Raw genomic sequence first — 20,413 nt, forward strand, 5'->3', positions numbered from 1 at the left:
GCTTTTTGGTTTTTTTGAGACGGAGTCTTGCTCTGTCGCCCAGGCTGGAGTGCAGTGGCACAATCTGACTCACTGCAGCCTCCGCCTCCTGGGTTCAAGCAATTCTCCTGCCTCAGCCTCCTCAGTAGCTGGGATTGCAGGCACGTGCCACCACACACAGCTCATTTTTGTATTTTTAGTAGAGACAGGGTTTCACCATGTTGGCCAGGCTGGTCTCAAACTCCCGACCTCAGGTGATCCACCCACCTTGGCCTCTCAAAGTGCTGGAATTACAGGCGTGAGCCATGGCACCCAGCTGGGCAAGTGAATTCTGACTAATCTCTCTCCAACCTCGCAACCACTTCAGGAAGTGTCACCATGGTCCCCATTGTACAGATGCAGAAACTGAGGCACAAGAAGGGGAATGGACTCATTGCCAGGGGCTCCAGGTGAGACAGTGGCCCAGTGAACTTTCTTGTTCCAAAGCCTCTAGCTGCAATAGTGTCTAGGAAGTTCCCTCCAAGTTGGCCAGAAAATAATCCCAATGACTCTTAGGCTTGAACTCTGTTAGTTTTTCTTATTAATTAACAGACTTTTTGGGTTTTATTTATTTATTTATTTATTTATTTATTTATTTATTGTTTTGAGACAGAGTCTAGCTCTGTTGCCCAGGCTGGAGTGCAGTGGCGAGATCACGGCTCACTGCAAGCTCCTTCTCCCAGGTTCACACCATTCTCCTGCCTCAGCGTCCCAAGTAGCTGGGACCACAGGCGCCTGCAACCACACCTGGCTAATTTGTATTTTTACTAGAGACAGGGTTTCATCGTGTTAGCCAGGATGGTCGTGATCTCCTGACCTCGTGATCCACCCGCCTCGGCCTCTCAAAGTGCTGGGATTACAGGCGTGAGGCACCGCGCCCGGCCTATTTATTTATTTAAGAGGGAGTCTTGCTCTGTCGCCCAGGCTGGAGTGCGGTGGCGCGATCTTGGCTCACTGCAACCTCTGCCTCCCGGGTTCAAGCCATTCTCCTGCCTCAGACTCCCGAATAGCTGGGATTACAGGCATGAGCTACTACGCCTGGCTAATTTTTGTATTTTTAGTAGAGATGGGGTTTCTACTTCATTTGAGAGGCCGGTCTCGAACTCCTCACCTCAGGTGATCTGCCTACCTTGGCCTGCCAAAGTGTTGGGATTACAGGCGTGAAGCACCACGCCTGGCCTATTCCTTTTTTTTTTTTTTTTTTTTTGAGACAGAGTTTTGCTCGTTGCCCAGGCTGGAGTGCAATGGCGTGATCTCAGCTCACCACAACCTCCACCTCCGGGGTTCAAGCCATTCTCCTGCCTCCGACTCCCGAGTAGCTGAGATTACAGGCATGTGCCACCACGCCCAGCTAAGGCTTTGTATTTTTAGTAGAGACAGGGTTTCTCCATGTTGGTCAGGCTGATCTTAAACTCCCGACCTCAGGTGATCCACCTGCCTTGGCCTCTCAAAGTGCTGGAATTACAGGCGTGAGCCACCACGCCCAGCCCTCCTTTCTTTTTGAATAGTCCTGGCACCGTTGCCAAAGATGAGTTGACCATATATGCATAGGTTTATTTCTGCATCAGTTCCAATCATTTATTTATATGTCTATCCTTATGCCAATACCACAGTTTTGGTTATTGTACCTTTTTATTGTTTGAAATGAGAAAGTATGAGTCCTCGTATTTTATTCAATATTGTTTTGGCTATTTTGGGGCCATTTGCAATTTATTATTAATTTTAGGATCAATTTGTCAATTTCAACAAAAACATTGTAAATTTGAAAGGGATTACATTGCATCCGTAGACCAATTTGTGGAGTACTGCCATCTTAACAATATTATACTTTCCAATCCATGAACGTGGAATGTCTTACCATTTATTTAGATCATCTTTAATTTTTTTTTTCACCAAAGTTTTAGTTCTTTTGCTTGTTTCGAGACAGGGTCTCACTCTATTGCCCAGGCTGGAGTGGAATGGCAGGAACACAGCTCACTGCAGCCTTAGTCTCCTGGGCTCAAGTGATCCTCCCACCACAGCCTCCCAAGTAGCTGGGACCACAGGCAGCTGCCACCGGGTCCAGCCTTGGCTTCCCAACGTGCTGGGATTACAGCTGTGAGCCACCAAGCCCAGCTACAGCTCTCAAGAAGTACAGTCTTGTACTTCTTTTATTAAATTTATGCCTACTTTATACTTTATGATGCTATGGTAAATGGAATTGTTTTCTTAATTTGCTACTGATTTTAAAATCCACTACCTGTGTGAGTTGAACTGCGCTTACACACATCACTGAAATATCCCACTCTCAGAAGTGGCCCAGCCTCCCCAGGCCCACCAGGCCTTCTTCCCCTTCCAGCCCTCTGTCCAGGCAAGAACTCGATTGGAGGCCTTTCTGGGCACTCAGAGGGACACACCACCACACTAGGAGGGTTAGCTTAAAAAATTCAACAAGCATGGCCAGGCGCAGTGGCTTTCGCCTGAATGCTACCACTTTGGGAGGCCGAGGCAGGAAGATCGCTTGAGCCCAGGGGTTCAAGATCAGCCTAGACCATATAGCAAGAGCCCGTCCGTCCGGAAAATGTAAAAAAAAAAAAAAAAAAAATTCAACAAGCATATTTTCATCCCCTACTTTTTTTTGAGATGGAGCCTCGCTCTGTCGCCCAAGCTGGGGTGCAGTGGCACGATCTCGGCTCACTGCAACCTCCGCCACCCCGGTTCAAGCGATTCTCCTGCCTCAGCCTCCCGAGTAGCTGGGACTACAGGCGCCCGCCACTACGCCCGGTTAATTTTTTGTGTTTTCAGTAGAGACGGGGTTTCACCGTGTTAGCCAGGATGGTCTCGATCTCCTGACCTCGTGATCCGCCCGCCTCGGCCTCCCAAAGTGTTGGGATTACAGGCGTCAGCCACCGCGCCCGGCGGTGCAGGAATTTTAAAACTCACCAAAATACGCCCTCCTTCAGAAAATCCCTGCCACCTCGATAGGACGTCCTCTTCTTGAGCTCCCCTCTCCGGCCCTCCCTGATACAGCAAGGTTGAGCATTCGGGCACTGGCTTCCCGAACTCACTTCGACTCAGGCACAGCAGGCAAAGATTCAATGGGTAGGGCCGGACCGACTGCCCGACCTTCGCGGTGCTTCACTTGCCTCACTGCGCATGTGCCAAAGACAATCACCCAAAGTACTCGAAACCAAGCGGCAGGGCCGGCCCTTGCGCAGGCGTACTAGCGACGGCCGTAGGGAGCGCTTCCTCCTCCCCGCCGCCGCCCTCGCCATGGCCGCGCCGGCCCCGGGCCTCATCTCGGTGTTCTCGAGTTCCCAGGAGCTGGGTGCGGCGCTAGCGCAGCTGGTGGCCCAGCGCGCAGCATGCTGCCTGGCAGGGGCCCGCGCCCGTTTCGCGCTCGGCCTGTCGGGCGGGAGCCTCGTCTCGATGCTAGCCCGCGAGCTACCCGCCGCCGTCGCCCCTGCCGGGCCAGCTAGCTTAGCGCGCTGGACGCTGGGCTTCTGCGACGAGCGCCTCGTGCCCTTCGATCACGCCGAGAGCACGTACGGCCTCTACCGGGTGAGAGCTACGGGGGCCGCCGGGGATCACGCCGAGAGGGCCACAGCCACCGCCTACACCCCGGCTACGGAGGCCGCCGGGGGCCATGCCGAAAGGGCCGCGCCCACTGTCTGCACCTCGGCTACGGGGGCCACTGGGTATCATGCCAAGAGGGCCGTGCCCACTGCCTGCACCTCGGCTACGTGGGTCGCTGGGGGTCATGCCAAGAGGGCCGCGCCCACCGGTTGCCCTCGGCTACGGGGGCCACTGGGGGTCATGCCGAGATGGTCACGCCCACTGCCTGCACCTCGACTACGGGGGCCGCTGGGGGTCTAGCCGACAGGGCTCGCCCGCCTCCTGAACCCCGCCTACAGTGGGTCCCGCAGGACCTCACTGCGCCCTCTGCCTTTATCTAGGCAGGGCTAGAAATGGTCTACTTGCAGTCCGTCTTCCTGCTTCATCCGGTGGCCAGGCAGAGGGAACGGCACGGGCAAGGGCCTGGAAGGGAATCCGAGTGGCCCATGTCAAACGATGCCCATAACTCAGCCCCGTAGCGGACGGGGGCACGAGGAATCAGGTGTAGAGCCTGAATCTCAGGGTCCTGATCTCTAACCCCAGCGAGTTCTCGGGGATCCCTGGGCAGCTTTGCCGCTCTGATGGCTCTGCTTCCAGGCTGTTCATCTTTGGCTTTGAGCCTCAGGATTCTATAGAATCAGAGGAGCGCGCTCTTTTAAAGACAGGGTAACTGAGGCTTGGAGGAGCCTTGGCCTGGCCGAGGGAAGAGTGGGAGGGGCGGGCTCAAAGGCCAGGAACCTCAAGTCACTTGAGTCTGGCAGCGTCAAGGGACACCCCATGCTGGGTGTGCCGTCTTCTCTTTGCATAGAATCTTGAGCTGATGATGGTTTTGTGGGTTTTTTATTAAGAGAAAAGGCTTACTGAACGCTTTATATGCATCAATTCATGAGTCCGTACCACAGCCTATGAGATGTTACACTCATTTCACAGATGGAGAAACTGAGGCCAGAAGAGGTGAGCTTACCTGCCCAAGGCATCTAGTGACCAGAGGGGCAGCCAGGGTGTGATCCTGCCTCATCTGACTTCGTAGTTGGGTACACATTTAACTTCCGCCTTCCTGTGTGTGTTTTCCAAGAGCATCATTAAAAAGTTTTGGCCGGGTGCGGTGGCTCACGCGTGTAATCCCAGCACTTTGGGAGGCCGACGTGAGTAGATCACCTGAGGTCAGGATTTCGAGACCAGCCTGGCCAACATGGCAAAACTCTGTCTCTACTAAAAAAAAATACAAAAATTGGCTGGGTGCGGTGGCTCACGCTTGTAATCCCAGCACTTTGGGAGGCTGAGGCGGGCGGATCACGAGGTCAGGAGTTTGAGACCAACCTGACCAACATGGTGAAACCTGTCTCTACTAAAAATGCAAAAATTAGCCAGGTGTGGTGGTGCGCACCTGTAATCCCAGCTACTCGGGAGGCTGAGGCAGGAGTGAGGCATGATCAGTGAACCGAGATCATGCCATTACACTCCACCCTGGGCGACAGAGTGAGACTGTCTTAAAGATAAAAAAAAAAAAAAGCAGGTTTTTGGCCGGGCGTGGTGGCTCATACCTGTAATCTCAGCACTTTGGGAGGCCAAGGATGGTGGATCACCTGAGGTCAGGTGTTGGAGACCAGCCTAGCCAACATGGCAAGACCCCATCTCTACTAAAAATACAAAAATTAGCTGGGTGTGGTGGCGTGTGCCTGTAATCCCGGCTACAGGGGAGGCTGAAGCACGAGAATCGCTTGAATGTGGGAGGCAGAGGTTGCAGTGAGCTGAGATCATGCCACTGCACTCCAGCCTGGGCGACAGTTGAGACTCTGTCTCAAAATAAATAATTGTGAAATGCTGCAGAGTGCTAGGGAATAGGGAGTGAGCATTCGTCAAGGGCTATGGGGTGGGAGGTCCTGAGAAGGTGCCATTTGAGCTGAGAGCTGGAGCATGTGCAGGAGCTGGCCATGGTCAAGCTGTGGCAAGAGGGCTCAGCTAAGGCCAAAGCCGTGTGATGGGAGCAAACCTGAAGCCAGGACTTGCTCCTTCTGCCGGTTCTCTGTGAGGGGAATCATATCGGTTCCCTAGGGCTACATAACGAATGACCACAAACTGAGCGGCTTAAAGCCACAGGAATTTATTCTCTCACCGTTCTGGAGGCCAGAAGTCTGAAATCAAGGTGTTGGTGGGGTCACGCCCCATCTGAAAGCTCTTTGGGAGGATCCTTCATTTTCTCCTCATCTTCTGGGGGCTCTGGGCGTTCCTTGGCTTGGGGTCACACCATTCCAATTCCTGTCTCTGTCTGCACATGGCCTTCTTGGATTCTGTGTGTCTTCTCATCTTATATAAGGACGCCAGTCATTGGATTTAGGGCCCACACTAATCCACTATGACTTGTTCTTAACTAATTACATCTGCAAAGACCCTATTTCCTTCCTTCCTTCCCTCCTTCCCTCCCTTCCTTCCCTTCCTTCCTTCCTCCCTTCCTATACTTTCTTTTCTTTTCCTTTCCTTTTCTTTCTTTTTTTGAGATAGGATCTTGTTGTGTTGCCCAGGCTGGAGTGCAGAGGCATGATCGTGGCTTACTGCAGCCTTCAGCTCCCGGGCTCTATCAATCCCCCTGCCTCAGCCTCCTCAGTAGCTGGGACTACAGGTGTGCACCACCAGGCCCAGCTAATTTTTTTTTTTGAGTTGGAGTTTCACCCTTGTTGCCCAGGCTGGAGTGCAATGGCGCGATCTCAGCTCACCACAACCTCCGCCTCCTGGGTTCAAGTGATTCTCCTGCCTCAGCCTCCCAAGTAGCTGGGATTACAGGCATTCACCACCACGCCCAGCTAATTTTATATTTTTAGTAGAGGTGGGATTTCTCCATGTTGGTCAGGCTGGTCTCGAACTCCTGACCTCAGGTGATCCGCCTGCCTTGGCCTCCCAAAGTGCTGGGATTACAGGCATGAGCCACCGTGCCAGGCCGCTAATTTTTTATTTTTGGTAAATACGAAGTTTCACTATGCTGCCCAGGCTGGTCTCAAACTCCTGGGCTCAACCGATTGTCCCACCTCAGCCTCCCAAAGTGCTGGGATTACAGCCGTGAGCCACCATGCCTGGCCATTTTCTGTTGTTTATAAGCCTCGAGTTTATGGTGTTTTGTGATAGCAGGCTGCATAGATTAACACAGGGACCTTGGACAAAGCAGAGTGGTCTTTCCAACTATGGATACGATTGTGTCCCTCCCCAGCTCACACACCCTCCTTGGCTCCCCAATGCCCTCAGTGTGGAGCTCATACTCCTCAGGTCAGCATTCAGGGCAGTCAGCCCCTGCGTTTACTTCGTGGCTCACCTTAGCATTGCCTCAGCTCACTGAGCTAGACTCTGCACAAACACGAGGCACCGAGACATGGACGCCATCTCAGAGCAGACCAGGGCCCCTGGGGCGCCTCTCAGTGGGATAGGGCTGCAGCTTTCTCCTTGATCCAAGTGCTTTTGAGTTAAATCTGCTGCCAACGACTCCACCATTCACAGGCCAGGGCATCTACTGTGCGCTAGCCACAGGTGCTGGGCCTGGGCAAGCCTGGCCCCCACTCCCTGTAGTGGGGCAGGTGCAGGCGGGGGTGGCTGCTCGGAGGAGGTGGCCTGAGGGATGTATATGAGTTTCCCAGGCAGCCTTAGGAGGGAGGGTGGGGATGGAGAAGGTTACCCTTCTCCATGGAGGGTGGTGAGGGGCTGAGTTTTATCCCAAGGGCCGTGGGACCCTGGAGGCTTTGAAACAGGACAATGGGCTGGCTAGACAGGTGCAGGCTATGGCCAGGAAACCCCCCAAATACAACGGAATTGAAAGACTCCTGTTGGAATGCTGGCCCCCGCAGGAACCACCATGATCCCGATTCACCCAGGAGGGCCACCCTCCCGTCCAGCCCCCCAAGAGCAGCAGGGCTCCCTCTTGCCCTTGAACCTCCTCTGCCCTGACAGGCGGCGTCACCCAGGGCTCAGGATCCTGGCTTCCAGCATTCCAGAGGTGACTCACCAACCAAAGTGTCACTCACCAACCGAAGGACCTTGCACAAATGCACCAGCCTCCCCATGCCTCAGTCTCCCCATCTGTAAATGAGTGTTATGACGGTACTGTCATAAACTCCCTGGAGGATCCAGGTGGTCACGTTACTGTTGGTGACATTGTCCCTCTGTTGGCTGCAGACGCATCTTCTCTCCAGACTGCCGATCCCAGAAAGCCAGGTGATCACCATTAACCCCGAGCTGCCTGTGGAGGAGGCGGCTGAGGACTACGCCAAGAAGCTGAGACAGGTGAGCCCCGAGGAGCGGCCGCAAGGGAGTCACATCCACGAAGCGGCCACACCCCGGGCAACAGAGCGGCCTTCTGATTGTCACCAGCAGGAACTGCCCCAGGGATCACTGGCAGATCCCTTTGAGGAATCCCCTCTTCGAGGCCACAGCCCTGCCCTGGGGAGCCTGAAGGCCACTCGGCCTCTGTTGCCCAGGTAACAGGCCTGGGTCCTCACATCTTGGGGAAATATGATGGGTATGGCTATGGCTTTGATCACAGGCTACATTGAGCACTGTTTCCTGCGTTACAGCTACTTGTATTTCTTTTTTTTTTTTTTTCTTTGAGACGGAGTCTCACTCTGTCGCCCAGGCTGGAGTGCAGTGGCGTGATCATGGCTCACTGCAAGCTCCGCCTCCCGGGTTCACACCATTCTCCTGCCTCAGCCTCCTGAGTAGCTGGGACTACGGGTGCCCGCCACCACGCCTGGTTAATTTTTTTGTATTTTTTTAGTAGAGACGGGGTTTCACCATGTTAGCCAGGATGGTCTCGATCTCCTGACCTCGTGATCCGCCCACCTTGGCCTCCAAAGTGCTGGGATTATAGGCGTGAGCCACCATGGGCCTTTTTTTTTTTTGAGATGGAGTCTTACTCTGTCACTCTGTCACCTAGGCTGGAGTGCAGTGATGCAATCTCAGCTCACTGCAACCTCTGCCTCCCGGGCTCAAGTGATTATCCTACCTCAGCCTCCCAAGTAGCTAGGACTACAGGTGCCTGCCACCACGCCTGGCTAATTTTTGTATTTTTAGTAGAGACAGGGTTTCATCATGTTGGCCAGGCTGGTCTTGAACTCCTGACCTCGTGATCCACCTACCTCGGCCTCCCAAAGTGCTGGGATTTCAGGTGTGAGCCACCATGCCCAGCCACAGCTACTTGTATTTTTTTATCTGACAACTGTTTCTGTGTCCTCTGAGTCTCCCCTGCCCCTGCCACCTACAACCTCTCAAGGCTGTCTTCTCCCCACGCCCAGGCATTCCAAGGGGACTCCATCCCGGTTTTCGACCTGCTGATCCTGGGGGTGGGCCCCGATGGTCACACCTGCTCACTCTTCCCAGACCACCCCCTCCTACAGGTGAGCACACCAATGCGGGGTTCCACCCTAGTCCTGAGCCCAGTCCCTAACATCTGGGACTTCCAGAGGGAGAGCCACCTGCCGGGTGGGGTGTCTAGAGCCAGGGTTCAAGTCAGCCTCCACCAACATACCTGCCTGCTGGGCTCAATCCTTTCAGGTCTCAGTTGAGCCCCTTAAAACAGGGACCTTAAACTACCCACCATGGGATTGTTAGTAGGATGGGATGGAACAGTGGCTGGACCAGGCCTGGTGTGTGTAAGTGTCCAAGAAGCTGAAGTGACATTGTCCTTCTGCCTCCATCCCTGGGCTTCCTCCCCAAGGAGCGGGAGAAGATTGTGGCTCCCATCAGTGACTCCCCGAAGCCACCGCCACAGCGTGTGACCCTCACACTACCTGTCCTGAATGCAGCACGAACTGTCATCTTTGTGGCAACTGGAGAAGGCAAGGCAGCTGTTCTGAAGGTAACAGCTGAGGGTTCTAGTCCTGGGAAGTTCATGGGCATGTGGGCCCCAGGGACAGAAAATGGCCCCAGACATTATTGTGCTGAAGCATCAGATCTGAAGAAAACTCAGTCATTCTTGGGTTGAAAGGTAACTTGAAATTGCAATTAGAAAAAAAGGAAAAAAAAAAAAAAAACCCCAGAAAATTGCAATTAAAGGCTAGTTAGGTATTAACCGCTATGAAATGAAATTGATGAGATGAGGCCAAAGCTGCATTCAGAGGTAAATTAATAGCATTCAAATGCATTTAAAAAAAATTATTAAGTAGCAAACTATTGAAATAAATCAAGTGCTTTCCTGTAGAATTAGAAAAAGGACAATAATATAAATCTACAAAAGTCAGTGGCAGGACTAAGTGAAATTAAAGTCAGAAATTAATGAGTTGGTTAATATATTTTAAACTTTAATGGTAAGTAGATCTAAAAGATAGAAAAGCTCCTGACAAGGCTAATCAAGAGAAAAAAAAATCACGTGGTATTATGAATAAAAAAAGGTACTGTTATGTAAAGTATTTTAGGAAAATACAAATTCATTACAGCATTAAAAATAAACTAAATAATTAAAAAGGTTTTAGTTGCCTTCATTGAAAAGACCAACAACTACAGAAGAAACTGGAAATATATTTTTATTTTTTTTTTGTTTTTTGTGTTATTGTTGTTGAGACAGAGTCTCCCTCTGTCGCCAAGGCTGGAGTGCACTGATGTGACCTCAGCTCGCTACAATCTCTACCTCCCAGGTTCAAGCGGTTCTCCTGCCTCAGCCTCTTGACTAGCTGGGATTATAGGCGCCTGCCACCAGGCCTGGCTAATTTTTGTATTTTTAGTAGAGAGGGGGTTTCACCATGTTGGCCAGGCTGGTCTCAAACTGCTGACCTCATGTGATCCACCTGCCTTGGCCTCCCAAAGTGCTGGGATTACAGATATGAGTCACCGTGCCTAGCCTGGTTTTTACTTTTCTAAGTGGTTGGAAAAAAGTCAAATGAAGAGCCAGGCCATGCTTATCATCCCATCTACTCAGGAGGCTAAGGCAGGAGGATTACTCGAGCTCAGGAGTTCGAAGCTATAGTGAAATGTAATTGCAACTGTGAATTACCACTGCACTGGGGAACATCACGAGAACTCATCTCCAAAAAAAATAAATCAGGCGGGGCGCGGTGGCTTATGCCTGTAATCCCAGCACTTTGGGAGGCTGAGGCAGGCGGATCACCTGAGGTCAGGAGTTCAAGACCAGCCTGGCCAACATGGCGAAACCCTGTCTCTACTAAAAATACAAAAATTAGCCAGGCGTGGTGGCGTGCGCCTGTAGTCCCAGCTACTCAGGAGCCTGAGGCAGGAGAATCACTTGAACCCGGGAGGCGGAGGTTGCTGTGGGCCGAGATCATGCCATTGCACTCCAGCCTGGGCGACAAGAACGAAACTCAGTCTCAAAAAAAAAAAAAAATCAAATGAATAATACTCCTTGACCTTGTGAAGATTCTATGAAGTTCAGATTACAGTGTCCAGAAATTGTTTTGTTTGTTTGTTTTTTTGAGACAGCTTCTCACCCTGTCATCCAAGCTGGAGTGCAGTGGCGCCATCTCAGCTCACTGCAACCTCCACCTCCCGGGTTCAAGTGCTTCTCCTGCCTCAGCCTCCCAAGTAGCTGGGATTACAGGCACCTGCCACCACGCCCAGCTAATTTTTGTATTTTTAGTAGAGACAGGGTTTCACAACATTGGCCAGGCTGGTCTCAAACTCCCAACCTCAAGTGATCCGCCCCCCTCGGCCTCCCAAAGTGCTGGGATTACAGGCATGAACCACCGCACCCGGCCCAGAAAAGTTTTATTGGAACATAGCAACACCCGCTTATGTATATATTGTCTGCAGCTGTTCTGGGGCCAGAACTGCAGAGCTGAGTGGTTGCAATAGAGACTGGATGGTCTGCAGAGCTTAATCTATTGACTCTGGTCTTTTGCTGAAAAAGGGTGCCAACCGCAGTATTAAACAGTTACAGACCAGGCACAGTGGCTCATGCCTGCACTTTGGGAGGCTGAGGCAGGAGGATTGCTTGAGTCTAGGAGTTTGAGACTAGTCTTGGCAACATAGCAAGACCCTGTCTCTACAAAAAATAAAAAATTAGCTGGGCACAGTGCCATGTGCCTGTGGTCCCAGATACTTGGCAGACTGAGGCAAGAGGATCACTTGAGCCTCAGAGATTGAGGCTGCAGTGAGCCTTGATGCCGTCACTGTACTCCAGCCTGGATGACAGCGCAAGACCTTGTCTCAAAAAAAATGCAAATAGTTACAGTGGGCGGGGCATGGTGGCTCAACGTGGGAGTTCAAGACCAGCCTGGCTAATATGGTGAAACCCCGTCTCTACTAAAAATATAAAAAATTAGGCCAGGCGCGGTGGCTAACGCCTGTAATCCCAGCACTTTGGGAGACCTAGGCGGGTGGATCACCTGAGTTCAGGAGTTCTAGACCAGCCTGACCAACATGATGAAACCGTCTCTACCAAAAACAAAAAAATTAGCCAGGTGTGGTGGGAGGCGCCTGTAATCCCAGCTACTTGGGGGGCCGAGGCAGGAGAATTGCTTGAAACCGGGAGGCGGAAGTTGCAGTGAGCCAAGATCGCACCATCACGCCATCACACTCCAGCCTGGGGGATAAGATCGAGAGTTCATCTCAAAAAAAAAAAAAAAAAAAAAAAAAACTTAGCCGAGCGTGGTGGCACTTGCCTGTAATCCCAGCTACTCAGGAGGCTGAGGCAGAAGAATCGCTTGAAACCGGGAGGCGGAGGTTGCCGTGAGCCAAGATCGTACCACTGCACTCCAGCCTGGGAGACAGAGTGAGACTCCATCTCAAAATAAATAAATAAATAAATAAAAATAGTTACAGTGGATAGAAAGGAAGGGACTCTTGTCCCTGCTGTTTGGCACTAGGACAGCTGAGCTGGGCATTGTCACATTTTGAGGATACAAGAGTCTTATTTATCCTTGGTTGGGGAGCCAGGAGAGTGCCGAGGGGCGGTGCCTGGGCCGCAGGCAGGGCCTTACTCTTCTGCCCTCTTCTTCAGCGCATTTTGGAGGACCAGGAGGAAAACCCGCTGCCCGCCGCCCTGGTCCAGCCCCACACCGGGAAACTGTGCTGGTTCTTGGACGAGGCGGCCGCCCGCCTCCTGACCGTGCCCTTCGAGAAGCATTCCACTTTGTAGCTGGCCAGAGGGACGCCGCAGCTGGGACCAGGCACGCGGCCCATGGGGCTGGGCCCCTGCTGGCCGCCACTCTCCGGGCTCTCCTTTCAAAAAGCCACGTCGTGCTGCTGCTGGAAGCCAACAGCCTCCGGCCAGCAGCCCTACCCGGGGCTCAACACACAGGCTGTGGCTCTGGACATCCGGATATTAAAAGGAGCGTTGCTGGAAGTCTGCACTGTCTCGCGGTGTTTGATGGCAGCAGGCCTGGGGGCGCCCTGGCCTGGGTTCTGATCCATAGCCCTCATCTGTGGGGAGGAAGGCGGGGCCTGCTTCCCTGGGGCATAGCCACCATGGATGAATTTCCTAAGACAACAGGCTGGGCACAGTGGCTCACGCCTGTCATCCCAGCACTTCGGGAGGATGAGGTGGGCAAATCACTTGAGGTCAGGAGTTCGAGACTAGCCTGGCCAACATAGTGAAATCTCTTCTCTACTAAAAATACAAAAATTAGCTGGGCGCGGTGGCTCACACCTGTAATCCCAGCACTTTGGGAGGCCGAGGCTGGTGGATCACGAGGTCGGGAGTTCGAGACCATCCTGGCTAACACAGTGAAACCCCGTCTCTACTAAAAATACAAAAAAAAATTAGCTGGGCATAGGTGGTGCACGCCTGTAGTCCCAGCTACTTGGGAGGCTGAGGCAGGAGAATGGCATAAAACCCAGGAGGCGAAGCTTGCAGTGAGCTGAGATCGCACCACTGCACTCCAACCTGGGAGATACAGCGAGACTCCATCTCGAAAAAAAAAAAAAATACAAAAATTAGCCGGGCGTAGTGGTGTGCACCTGTAATCCCAGCTACTTGGGAGGCTGAGGCACAACAATTGCTTGAACCAGGGAGGCGGAGCTTGCAGTGAGCTGAGATCGCGCCACTGCACTCCACCCTGTGTGACAGAGCGAGACTCGGTCTCAAGAAAAAAAAAAGCTGGGCACGGTGGCTTACGCCTGTAATCTCAGCACTTTGGAAGGCTGAGGTGGGCGGGTCACCCGAGGTCAGGAGTTTGAAACCAGCCTGATCAATATGGCAAAACCCTATCTCTACTGAAAATACAAAAATTAGCTGGGTGTGGTGGCATGCGCCTGTAATCCCAGCTACTTGGGAGGCTGAGGCAGGAGAATTGCTTGAACCCAGGAGGCGGAGGTTGCAGTGAGCCAAGACTGCGCCACTGCACTCCAGCCTGGGCAACAAGAGCGAAACTCCGTCTTAAAATGAAACAAAACAAAACAAAAAAACAAATGTATTCTGTCTTAGCTATAGAGATCAGAAGTCCAAGGTCAAGGTGGCGGCAGGGCTGGTTCCCTCTGGAGGCTCTGAGGCAGAACCCATCCCAGGCCTCTCCTGTCCTTGGCATTCCTTAGCTTGTGGCCATATCACTCCAGTCTCTCCTTGTCTTCACTTGGACTTCTTTCTCTTGTGTGTTCTCGCCTCCTATTTATTTTTTTGATACAGGGTCTCGCTCTGTCACCCAGACTGGAGTGCAGTGGTGCAATCACAGCTCACTGCAGCCTCCATCTCCTGGGCTAAAGCGATCCTCTCACCTCAGCCTCCCAAGTAGCTGGTGCTACAGATATGCACCACCACGCCTGCCTACTTGTACAAATTTTTTGCGGAGACGGGGTCTTGGTATGTTGCCCAGGTTGGTCTCCAACCCCTGAGATCAAGCGATCCTCCAGCCTCAGCCTCCCAAAGTGTTGGGATTACAGGCATGAGCCACTGTGCCCAGCATTCTTTTCTTATAAGGACACCTGTCATTGGATTTAGGATCGCCTTGCACCCAGGGTGGTTTCATCTCAAGATACCAAATGAGTATTCCAAATAAGTTCCAAATAAATGCTTATTTGGAATAAGTATTCCGAATAAGGTCACATGCTGAGTTTCCTGGGTCAGGACGTAGACATGTCCTTTGGGGGACATAAGTCAACCCTCTGCTGAGCTCCAGCTGCACTGACAGGGCGAAGCACTGCATTCAGCCATGCTGCGGACCTGCTCAGAGCCTTGAAAGCACCAGAGAGTCTAGTCTCCATGTGCTGGGCTCCTGCACATTTTCCCAGAATGCATCTGCTCATGGCCCACCCTTCAGCTTTCTCTAGGCCCCAGGGACGACAGTGTGGGAGGCTGGTGGGTGCATGGGGGCTGCCCAGCCACGTGCAAGTTTCTGTGGGGGGATCCAGAGGAGGCACCCGGCTGAGCAGGAGATGGGAATTGAAACCTGCGCAGAGGCGGCTGTGCAGGGTGAGAGTGGAGCCGAAACCACAGAAAGTGAAGTTTGCTTCAACGTCTTGTCCCGGCAGGCCACTCAGATGTGAGAGTGAGGAAGTGGGATGGGGCCTGACCGGAAGGAGGTTGGTAAACAGCAAAGAGAGCTGAGCGGAAGCTCAGCTGTGGGGCTGGTTGAGGGCAGGAGGCCGTGGCCCCCAGAGCGGCAGGCACGGGGCTGCGAAGTGAAGGGAAATTGAGCTGCCAGCACAGGGACCCCACATGGATGGTTGTGCCTGGGGCTGTCACCATCTCCTACTCTTTGCGAGAGTGACAACTCTTCCTGCTCCTTTTGCCTTCGGAGTGAAATTCACCCTTCCCACAAGGCTCCACGTGGCCCCTTTCACCTCTCCCTCTCCCCAGCAACATCAGCCCCTCACTCAGTCTCCCTGCAGCGCACCCACTTCCTGCTGTTCCTGGAGCCCGCTGAGCACATTCCCACCCCAGGGCCTTTGCCTGTGCTGAGCCCGCTGCCCGGTATCTCCTTTCCTGCAGCTTTTTGCATGGCTTGGGCCCTCGCTTTCTTTTTTGGGGGGACACGGTCTTGCTCTGTCGTCCAGGCTGGAGTGCAGTGGTGTGATCTCAGCTCACTGCAACCTCTACCTCACGGGTTCACACAATTCTCCTGCCTCAGCCTCCCAAGTAGTTGGTTCTACAGGCACCCACCACCACTCCCAGCTAATTTTGGTATTTTTAGTAGAAACATTGAGTTTCACCACGCTGGCCAGGCTGGTCTCGAACTCCTGACCTCAAGCGATCCACTTGCCTCAACCTCCCAAAGTGCTGGGATTACAGGCATGAACCACTGCGCCCAACTCCTCGCTTCCTTTCATCTCCGTGACCCCTCCATGCCCATCCTCTATCCCCTCCTGCTGCATTTTTCTTCCTTGCCCGTCTCATCATCTGATGGTTTTCTTTTTTCTTTTTTTTGAGACAGAGTCTCGCCCTGTTGCTCAGGCTGGAGTGCAGTGGTCCGATTTCAGCTCACTGCAACCTCCGCCTCCTGGGTTCAAGTGATTCTCCTGACTCAGCCTCCTGAGTAGCTAGGATTACAGGCGCCCACCACAACGCCCGCTATTTTTTGTATTTTTAGTAGAGACAGGGTTTCACCATGTTGGCCAGGCTGGTCTCGAACTCCTGACCTCAGGTGACCCGCCTGCCTCGGCCTCCCAAAGTGCTGGGATTACAGGCTTGAGCCACAACAGCCAGCTGAAAAAACATAAATTTTTTTAAAAGAAGAAATGAATCCTGGGCTGTTAGTGAAGATTACATTCAGATATTACTAGAGGCTTAAGCAAAACAGAGGTTTAGCTCTTTCTCTGGAGAGACACCATTCAGGGCTGGTAGAGCAATGTCACACATTCTTCAGGAACCCCAGCTCCTTCTACATCATTGCTTTGCCCTGTCATCAGCTGGATTCTGCCTCATGGCCCAAGGTGGCTGCTTGTGCTCCAGCCATTGTGTCCACGTTCCAGCTCTAGCATGAAGAAGCTTCCCAGGATTCACCGAAGACACTTCTGCTCACTCCTTTATGGCCAGCCTGGGTTGCACAGCCCCACATAGCAGCAAGGAAGTCTGGAAGATGAGTCTCCATTGGACAGCCATGGGCTCCGTTATGATCAGGGATTCTACTACTGAGGCCAATAGGAGCAATGGACATTGAGGGACACGTGTTCTCTATTCATCGATGACCTGCCCGCCTGCCTCAGGGGCTCCCTGGGGATCTTGCCATCTGAGGGGCCACACTCTGGACTTTCCTTCCTCCAGCCTGGAGCCCCTGACTGCTGGGAAGTGTTCAGTGTCCTTGAGAGGTCTTCAGGGACCCACCCCACTCCCCAGCCAACGCTGGATCCAGAGCTCAGTGCTTGACACTCCCCTCATCAGAAAACCTGTGATGGCTCCATTTGATCACATTTCCGCTTGGAGTGTAGACTGCATGCCCTCCCTCCCTCCGTCCCTCCCTTCATTCATTCATTCATTCATTCATTCATTCATGCACACGTTTATTCATGCATTCATTCAGCAAACATCGAGGGCTGCTCTGTGCCAGGCACAAAACAGGTGAAGGGGTGGAGACGCCCAACTAACCAAACCAGGTCAAATGCTGGGACATAAAGGTCGCGCCCAACCAGTCCAGGGGCACAGGGACGGCTCTCCAAGGGGCTGGTATCTGGTCTTTTCACCTGAGGGGTGAAGCTTGGGCGACCACGTGCAGGAGGCGGGAGCAAGAGTTCTCTAGGCACTGGACAAGACCGCGGGGGTCAGAGGGACATGGGGGCTTCGGGAGCTGCAGGGGGCTGAGTGGAGCCAGAGGGCTCTTGGAGCGATGAGGCTGGGCCCTCAGTGGTGCTTTCCCAAAGGGCAATGGGAGAGCTTCGGGAGGTCAGCACGGAGAGTTTTGGGGTGCTAAAGATGGGGTTTGGGCCCAAGAAAAGGGACACCTTCGCTGGGTGACGTGGCTCACACCTGTAATCCCAGCACTTTGGGAGGCTGAGGCGAGAGGATCACCTGAGGTCAGGAGTTTGAGGCCAGCCTGGCCAACACAGGGAAACCCCATCTCTACTAAACAAAACAAAACAAAATTAGCCAGAAATCGCTTGAACCCAGGAGGCGAAGGTGGCAGTGAGCCAAGATCATGCCACTGCACTCCAGCCTGGGCAACAGAGTGAGACACCGTTTAAAAAAAAAAGAACACTTTAGGAGGTCAAGGAGGGTGGATCACGAGGTCAGGAGTTTGAGACAAGCCTGGCCAACATAATGAAACCCCGTCTCTACTGAAAATACAAAAAATTAGCCAGGTGTGGTGGCGGGCGCCTGTAATCCCAGCTACTCGGGAGGCTGAGGCTGGAGAATCACTTGAACCCGGGAGGTGGAGGTTGCAGTGAGCCAAGATAGTGCCATTGCACTCCAGTCTGGGCGACAGTGCGAGAGTCTGTCCCAAAGAAAAAAAAAAGGACACCTTTAAGAGACACTTAAAACGTGAAATATGCCAGGTGTGGTGGCTCATGCCTGTAATCCTAACATTTTGGGAGGCCGAGGTGGGCGGATCACTTGAGTCCAGAAGTTTGAGACCAGCCTGGGCAACATAGGAAGACCCCCCGTGTCTACAAAAAATACAAAAATTAGCCAGGCATGGTGGTGGCGTGTGCCTGTGGGCCCAGCTACTCTGGAGGCTGAAGTGAGAGGGTCACTTGAGCACAGGAGTTCCAGGCTGCAGTGAGCCATGATCGTGCCACTGCACTCCAGCCTGAGCAACAGAGCAAGACCCTGTCTCTAAAAAAAAAAAAAGGAAAAAGAAATGGAGTCCAGGTGATGGACTGGTGGGAGGGACAGTGTTGGGGGCCTGAAGAAGGAATCAAGGATGAAGCTTCAGTGCCCCCAAGTCTCTCTGCTCACCCCTGCCAGGCCACCCATCCTCTAAGACCTTGGCATCTGCCCCCCTGCCCCAGCACTGACCTCAGGGACAGTCTGGGAGTGCCTGTCCAGCTCTGTCTCCCCAGCCTGGGGACTCCTAGGAGCTGGGCCAGGGCTGTATCCTCTCTGGGGTCCAGCCTCACCGGGCACAGGGTAGGCACAGTGCTGGTGGGGGGGTGTGGCACCAGGAACTAGATGCCGCATCCCTGCCCATCCCCCTGTTCCAGCCCCCATACACAACGACTGCTGGCCGGTCCTGCCAGATGTCTGCCCTGCCACCCTCCTCCAAGACGAGCTATGATTTTCTTTCTCCCACACCCCACAACCTAACCCCGGGGCTGTCCCCGCAGCCTCTACAGAAACCACTGGCTCTGGGCAACACGGGCCCCAGGGGAGTGGGGAGGACGCAGGTGCAGCGTGGGGTGGGGCAGGGGCGGGGCCTCTGAACCCACTGTGACCAAGCCTCTCACCCGCCATCCAGGTGCCCCTGAGCCGAGGAACGCAGGCGGTGGTCGTGGGGAAGGGAAGAGGAGCCCCGGGAGACGACAGCAGCATGGGTGGGCGGCCTTCGAGCCCTCTGGACAAGCAGCAGCGGCAGCACCTAAGGGGTGAGCAGCCGGGGAGGGGACAGGGTGGGAGTCCAGGTGGGTGGGGGCTCCAGCCATTGGGTCCACATGCTCCATGCAGCAGATGGGGTTCGGTTCAGACCTAGGGCTGTCAAAACACACAGGATGCCTTCTTAATGTAAATTTCACGCAGTGAATCTTTTTTTATTGTTGAGACAGGATCTTGTCTGTTGCCCAAGCTGGAGTGCCGTGGTATGATCGTGGCTCACTGCAACCTTGGCCTCCTGGGCTCAAGCAATTCTCCCGCCTTAACCTCCCAAGTAGCTGGGACCACATGCATGTACCACCATGCCCAACTAATTATTTCATTGGTTGTTTTTTTTTTTAATAGAGACAGGGTGTCCCTATGTTGGCCAGTTTGCTTTTGAACTTGTGGGCTCAAGCGATCCTCCCGCCTCAGCCCGAATAGCTGGGACCACAGGCGTGCACCACCACACCTGGCTAATTTTTTATTTGTTTTCGTAGCGACAGGGTCTCACTATGTTGCCCAGGCTGGTCTTGAACTCCTGAGCTCAAGCGATCCTCCCACATCAACCTCCCAAAGTGCTGGGATTACAGGCGGGAGCCACTGTGTCCAGCCTGCATCTTATTTTTAGTATAAGTGTATCCCAGATTTTGCATAGTGCACACTTATGCTGAAAACCAATTACCCCTTTATGGTTTTTTTTTTGTTTGTTTTGTTTTGTTTTGTTTTTTGAGATGGAGTCTCCCTCTGTTGCCCAGGCTAGAGTGCAGTGGCGCAATCTTGGCTCACTGCAACCTCCGCCTCCAGGATTCAAGCTATTCTCCTGCTTCAGCCTCCCGAGTAGCTGGGATTACAAGCATGTGCCACCATGCCTGACTAATTTTTGTATTTTTAGTAGAGATGGGGTTTCACCATTTTGGCCAGGTTGGTCTCGAACTCCTGATCTCAGGTGATCTGCTCACCTCAGCCTCCCAAAGTGCTGGGATTACAGGTGTGAGCCACTGTGCCCAGAAGACTGTGTCTTCTATTTTTATTTGGTAAATCTAGTGACCTGATTTAGGGCAGGGGTTCAGGTGGGAGGCATAGGGCCAAGTGGAGGGTGTCCCAGACCCAGCCAGGCCCTGAGGGATGTCTTCCTGAGCGGGCAGGGACCAGCAGGCCCCTCGGTAGGACCCTGGGGATGGAGGCTCAGTTCCCAATTTGAGACTAAGAGGGGCCAGTGCCAGATTCAGTGCCATTCGGGTCCCTCTGTCCTCATATGTGGGGTGAGCAACTGTGCTGGGCGCTGGGGACATTGTGGGGTTGGTATTGGCCTTACCCTCACAGGCTCATGGTCTAAACACCTTCCCTCTGGTGGCTCTGCTATGTGGGGCTTCTGTGCCCAAGGTGACCTCATGGCACAGAACGGCTGCTGGAGCTCCAGCCATTGGGTCTACA

The 20,413-nt window shown here is 53.2% G+C and overlaps 2 protein-coding genes and 1 long non-coding RNA gene across 16 annotated transcripts in view, besides 14 other annotated features; 2 read left to right on the forward strand and 1 right to left on the reverse strand.

Moving 5' to 3' along the window:
- Window positions 1-287: part of an enhancer, noted in NCBI's record as "BRD4-independent group 4 enhancer chr19:17618299-17619498 (GRCh37/hg19 assembly coordinates)", that runs on past the window's edge. NCBI's record gives its function as "activates an origin of replication core promoter dependent on BRD2, P300/CBP, MED14 and CDK7 cofactors, and independent of BRD4, by STARR-seq in HCT116 cells {active_cell/tissue: HCT116}" and the evidence as "EXISTENCE:reporter gene assay evidence [ECO:0000049][PMID:35650434]".
- PGLS-DT (PGLS divergent transcript) overlaps window positions 1-3,487 on the reverse strand; it is a 22,900-nt gene extending 19,413 nt beyond the window's left edge. The window contains exon 1 of the long non-coding RNA NR_147835.1: window positions 2,941-3,487. This is a non-coding gene — a long non-coding RNA (PGLS divergent transcript). The remainder of the gene's footprint in view (window positions 1-2,940) is intronic.
- Window positions 2,093-2,750: an enhancer, noted in NCBI's record as "NANOG-H3K27ac-H3K4me1 hESC enhancer chr19:17621304-17621961 (GRCh37/hg19 assembly coordinates)". NCBI's record gives its function as "activates a minimal SCP1, AML or CMV promoter by ChIP-STARR-seq in naive H9 embryonic stem cells {active_cell/tissue: H9 hESC(naive)}" and the evidence as "EXISTENCE:reporter gene assay evidence [ECO:0000049][PMID:30033119]".
- Window positions 2,751-3,407: an enhancer, noted in NCBI's record as "NANOG-H3K27ac-H3K4me1 hESC enhancer chr19:17621962-17622618 (GRCh37/hg19 assembly coordinates)". NCBI's record gives its function as "activates a minimal SCP1, AML or CMV promoter by ChIP-STARR-seq in naive H9 embryonic stem cells {active_cell/tissue: H9 hESC(naive)}" and the evidence as "EXISTENCE:reporter gene assay evidence [ECO:0000049][PMID:30033119]".
- Window positions 2,751-3,414: a biological region, named in NCBI's record as "NANOG-H3K27ac-H3K4me1 hESC enhancer GRCh37_chr19:17621962-17622618".
- Window positions 2,975-3,224: an enhancer, noted in NCBI's record as "active region_14276". NCBI's record gives its function as "activates an Ori minimal core promoter by ATAC-STARR-seq in GM12878 lymphoblastoid cells {active_cell/tissue: GM12878}" and the evidence as "EXISTENCE:reporter gene assay evidence [ECO:0000049][PMID:35858748]".
- PGLS (6-phosphogluconolactonase) lies at window positions 3,247-12,886 on the forward strand. Its single transcript, NM_012088.3, has 5 exons — window positions 3,247-3,558; window positions 7,771-7,878; window positions 8,886-8,987; window positions 9,308-9,448; window positions 12,542-12,886. The coding sequence occupies exons 1-5, from the start codon at window positions 3,271-3,273 to the stop codon at window positions 12,677-12,679; spliced, it is 777 nt and encodes a 258-aa protein (NP_036220.1). The 5' UTR covers window positions 3,247-3,270; the 3' UTR covers window positions 12,680-12,886.
- Window positions 3,285-3,414: a silencer, noted in NCBI's record as "silent region_10349". NCBI's record gives its function as "represses an Ori minimal core promoter by ATAC-STARR-seq in GM12878 lymphoblastoid cells {active_cell/tissue: GM12878}" and the evidence as "EXISTENCE:reporter gene assay evidence [ECO:0000049][PMID:35858748]".
- Window positions 3,425-3,474: a silencer, noted in NCBI's record as "silent region_10350". NCBI's record gives its function as "represses an Ori minimal core promoter by ATAC-STARR-seq in GM12878 lymphoblastoid cells {active_cell/tissue: GM12878}" and the evidence as "EXISTENCE:reporter gene assay evidence [ECO:0000049][PMID:35858748]".
- Window positions 3,718-4,012: a silencer, noted in NCBI's record as "tiled region #7913; K562 Repressive DNase unmatched - State 1:Tss". NCBI's record gives its function as "represses a minimal TATA promoter and a strong SV40 promoter by Sharpr-MPRA in K562 cells {active_cell/tissue: K562}" and the evidence as "EXISTENCE:reporter gene assay evidence [ECO:0000049][PMID:27701403]".
- Window positions 3,718-4,012: an enhancer, noted in NCBI's record as "tiled region #7913; HepG2 Activating DNase unmatched - State 1:Tss". NCBI's record gives its function as "activates a minimal TATA promoter and a strong SV40 promoter by Sharpr-MPRA in HepG2 cells {active_cell/tissue: HepG2}" and the evidence as "EXISTENCE:reporter gene assay evidence [ECO:0000049][PMID:27701403]".
- Window positions 3,975-4,234: an enhancer, noted in NCBI's record as "active region_14277". NCBI's record gives its function as "activates an Ori minimal core promoter by ATAC-STARR-seq in GM12878 lymphoblastoid cells {active_cell/tissue: GM12878}" and the evidence as "EXISTENCE:reporter gene assay evidence [ECO:0000049][PMID:35858748]".
- Window positions 3,975-4,720: a biological region, named in NCBI's record as "H3K4me1 hESC enhancer GRCh37_chr19:17623276-17623931".
- Window positions 4,065-4,720: an enhancer, noted in NCBI's record as "H3K4me1 hESC enhancer chr19:17623276-17623931 (GRCh37/hg19 assembly coordinates)". NCBI's record gives its function as "activates a minimal SCP1, AML or CMV promoter by ChIP-STARR-seq in primed H9 embryonic stem cells {active_cell/tissue: H9 hESC(primed)}" and the evidence as "EXISTENCE:reporter gene assay evidence [ECO:0000049][PMID:30033119]".
- Window positions 14,591-14,650: an enhancer, noted in NCBI's record as "active region_14278". NCBI's record gives its function as "activates an Ori minimal core promoter by ATAC-STARR-seq in GM12878 lymphoblastoid cells {active_cell/tissue: GM12878}" and the evidence as "EXISTENCE:reporter gene assay evidence [ECO:0000049][PMID:35858748]".
- NIBAN3 (niban apoptosis regulator 3) overlaps window positions 14,899-20,413 on the forward strand; it is a 32,237-nt gene continuing 26,722 nt past the window's right edge. For 11 of the 14 annotated variants that reach the window (XM_011527786.3, XM_017026453.2, NM_001321826.2 and 8 more), the window contains exon 1: window positions 18,865-18,993. In XM_011527786.3, the coding sequence (XP_011526088.1) occupies window positions 18,939-18,993 (55 nt within the window). In that variant the 5' untranslated portion in view covers window positions 18,865-18,938. 14 annotated transcript variants of the gene reach the window in all.
- Window positions 18,717-18,826: a silencer, noted in NCBI's record as "silent region_10351". NCBI's record gives its function as "represses an Ori minimal core promoter by ATAC-STARR-seq in GM12878 lymphoblastoid cells {active_cell/tissue: GM12878}" and the evidence as "EXISTENCE:reporter gene assay evidence [ECO:0000049][PMID:35858748]".

The sequence above is a fragment of the Homo sapiens genome, chromosome 19 (genome assembly GCF_000001405.40).
Source record: "Homo sapiens chromosome 19, GRCh38.p14 Primary Assembly".
Taxonomy (NCBI): domain Eukaryota; kingdom Metazoa; phylum Chordata; class Mammalia; order Primates; family Hominidae; genus Homo; species Homo sapiens.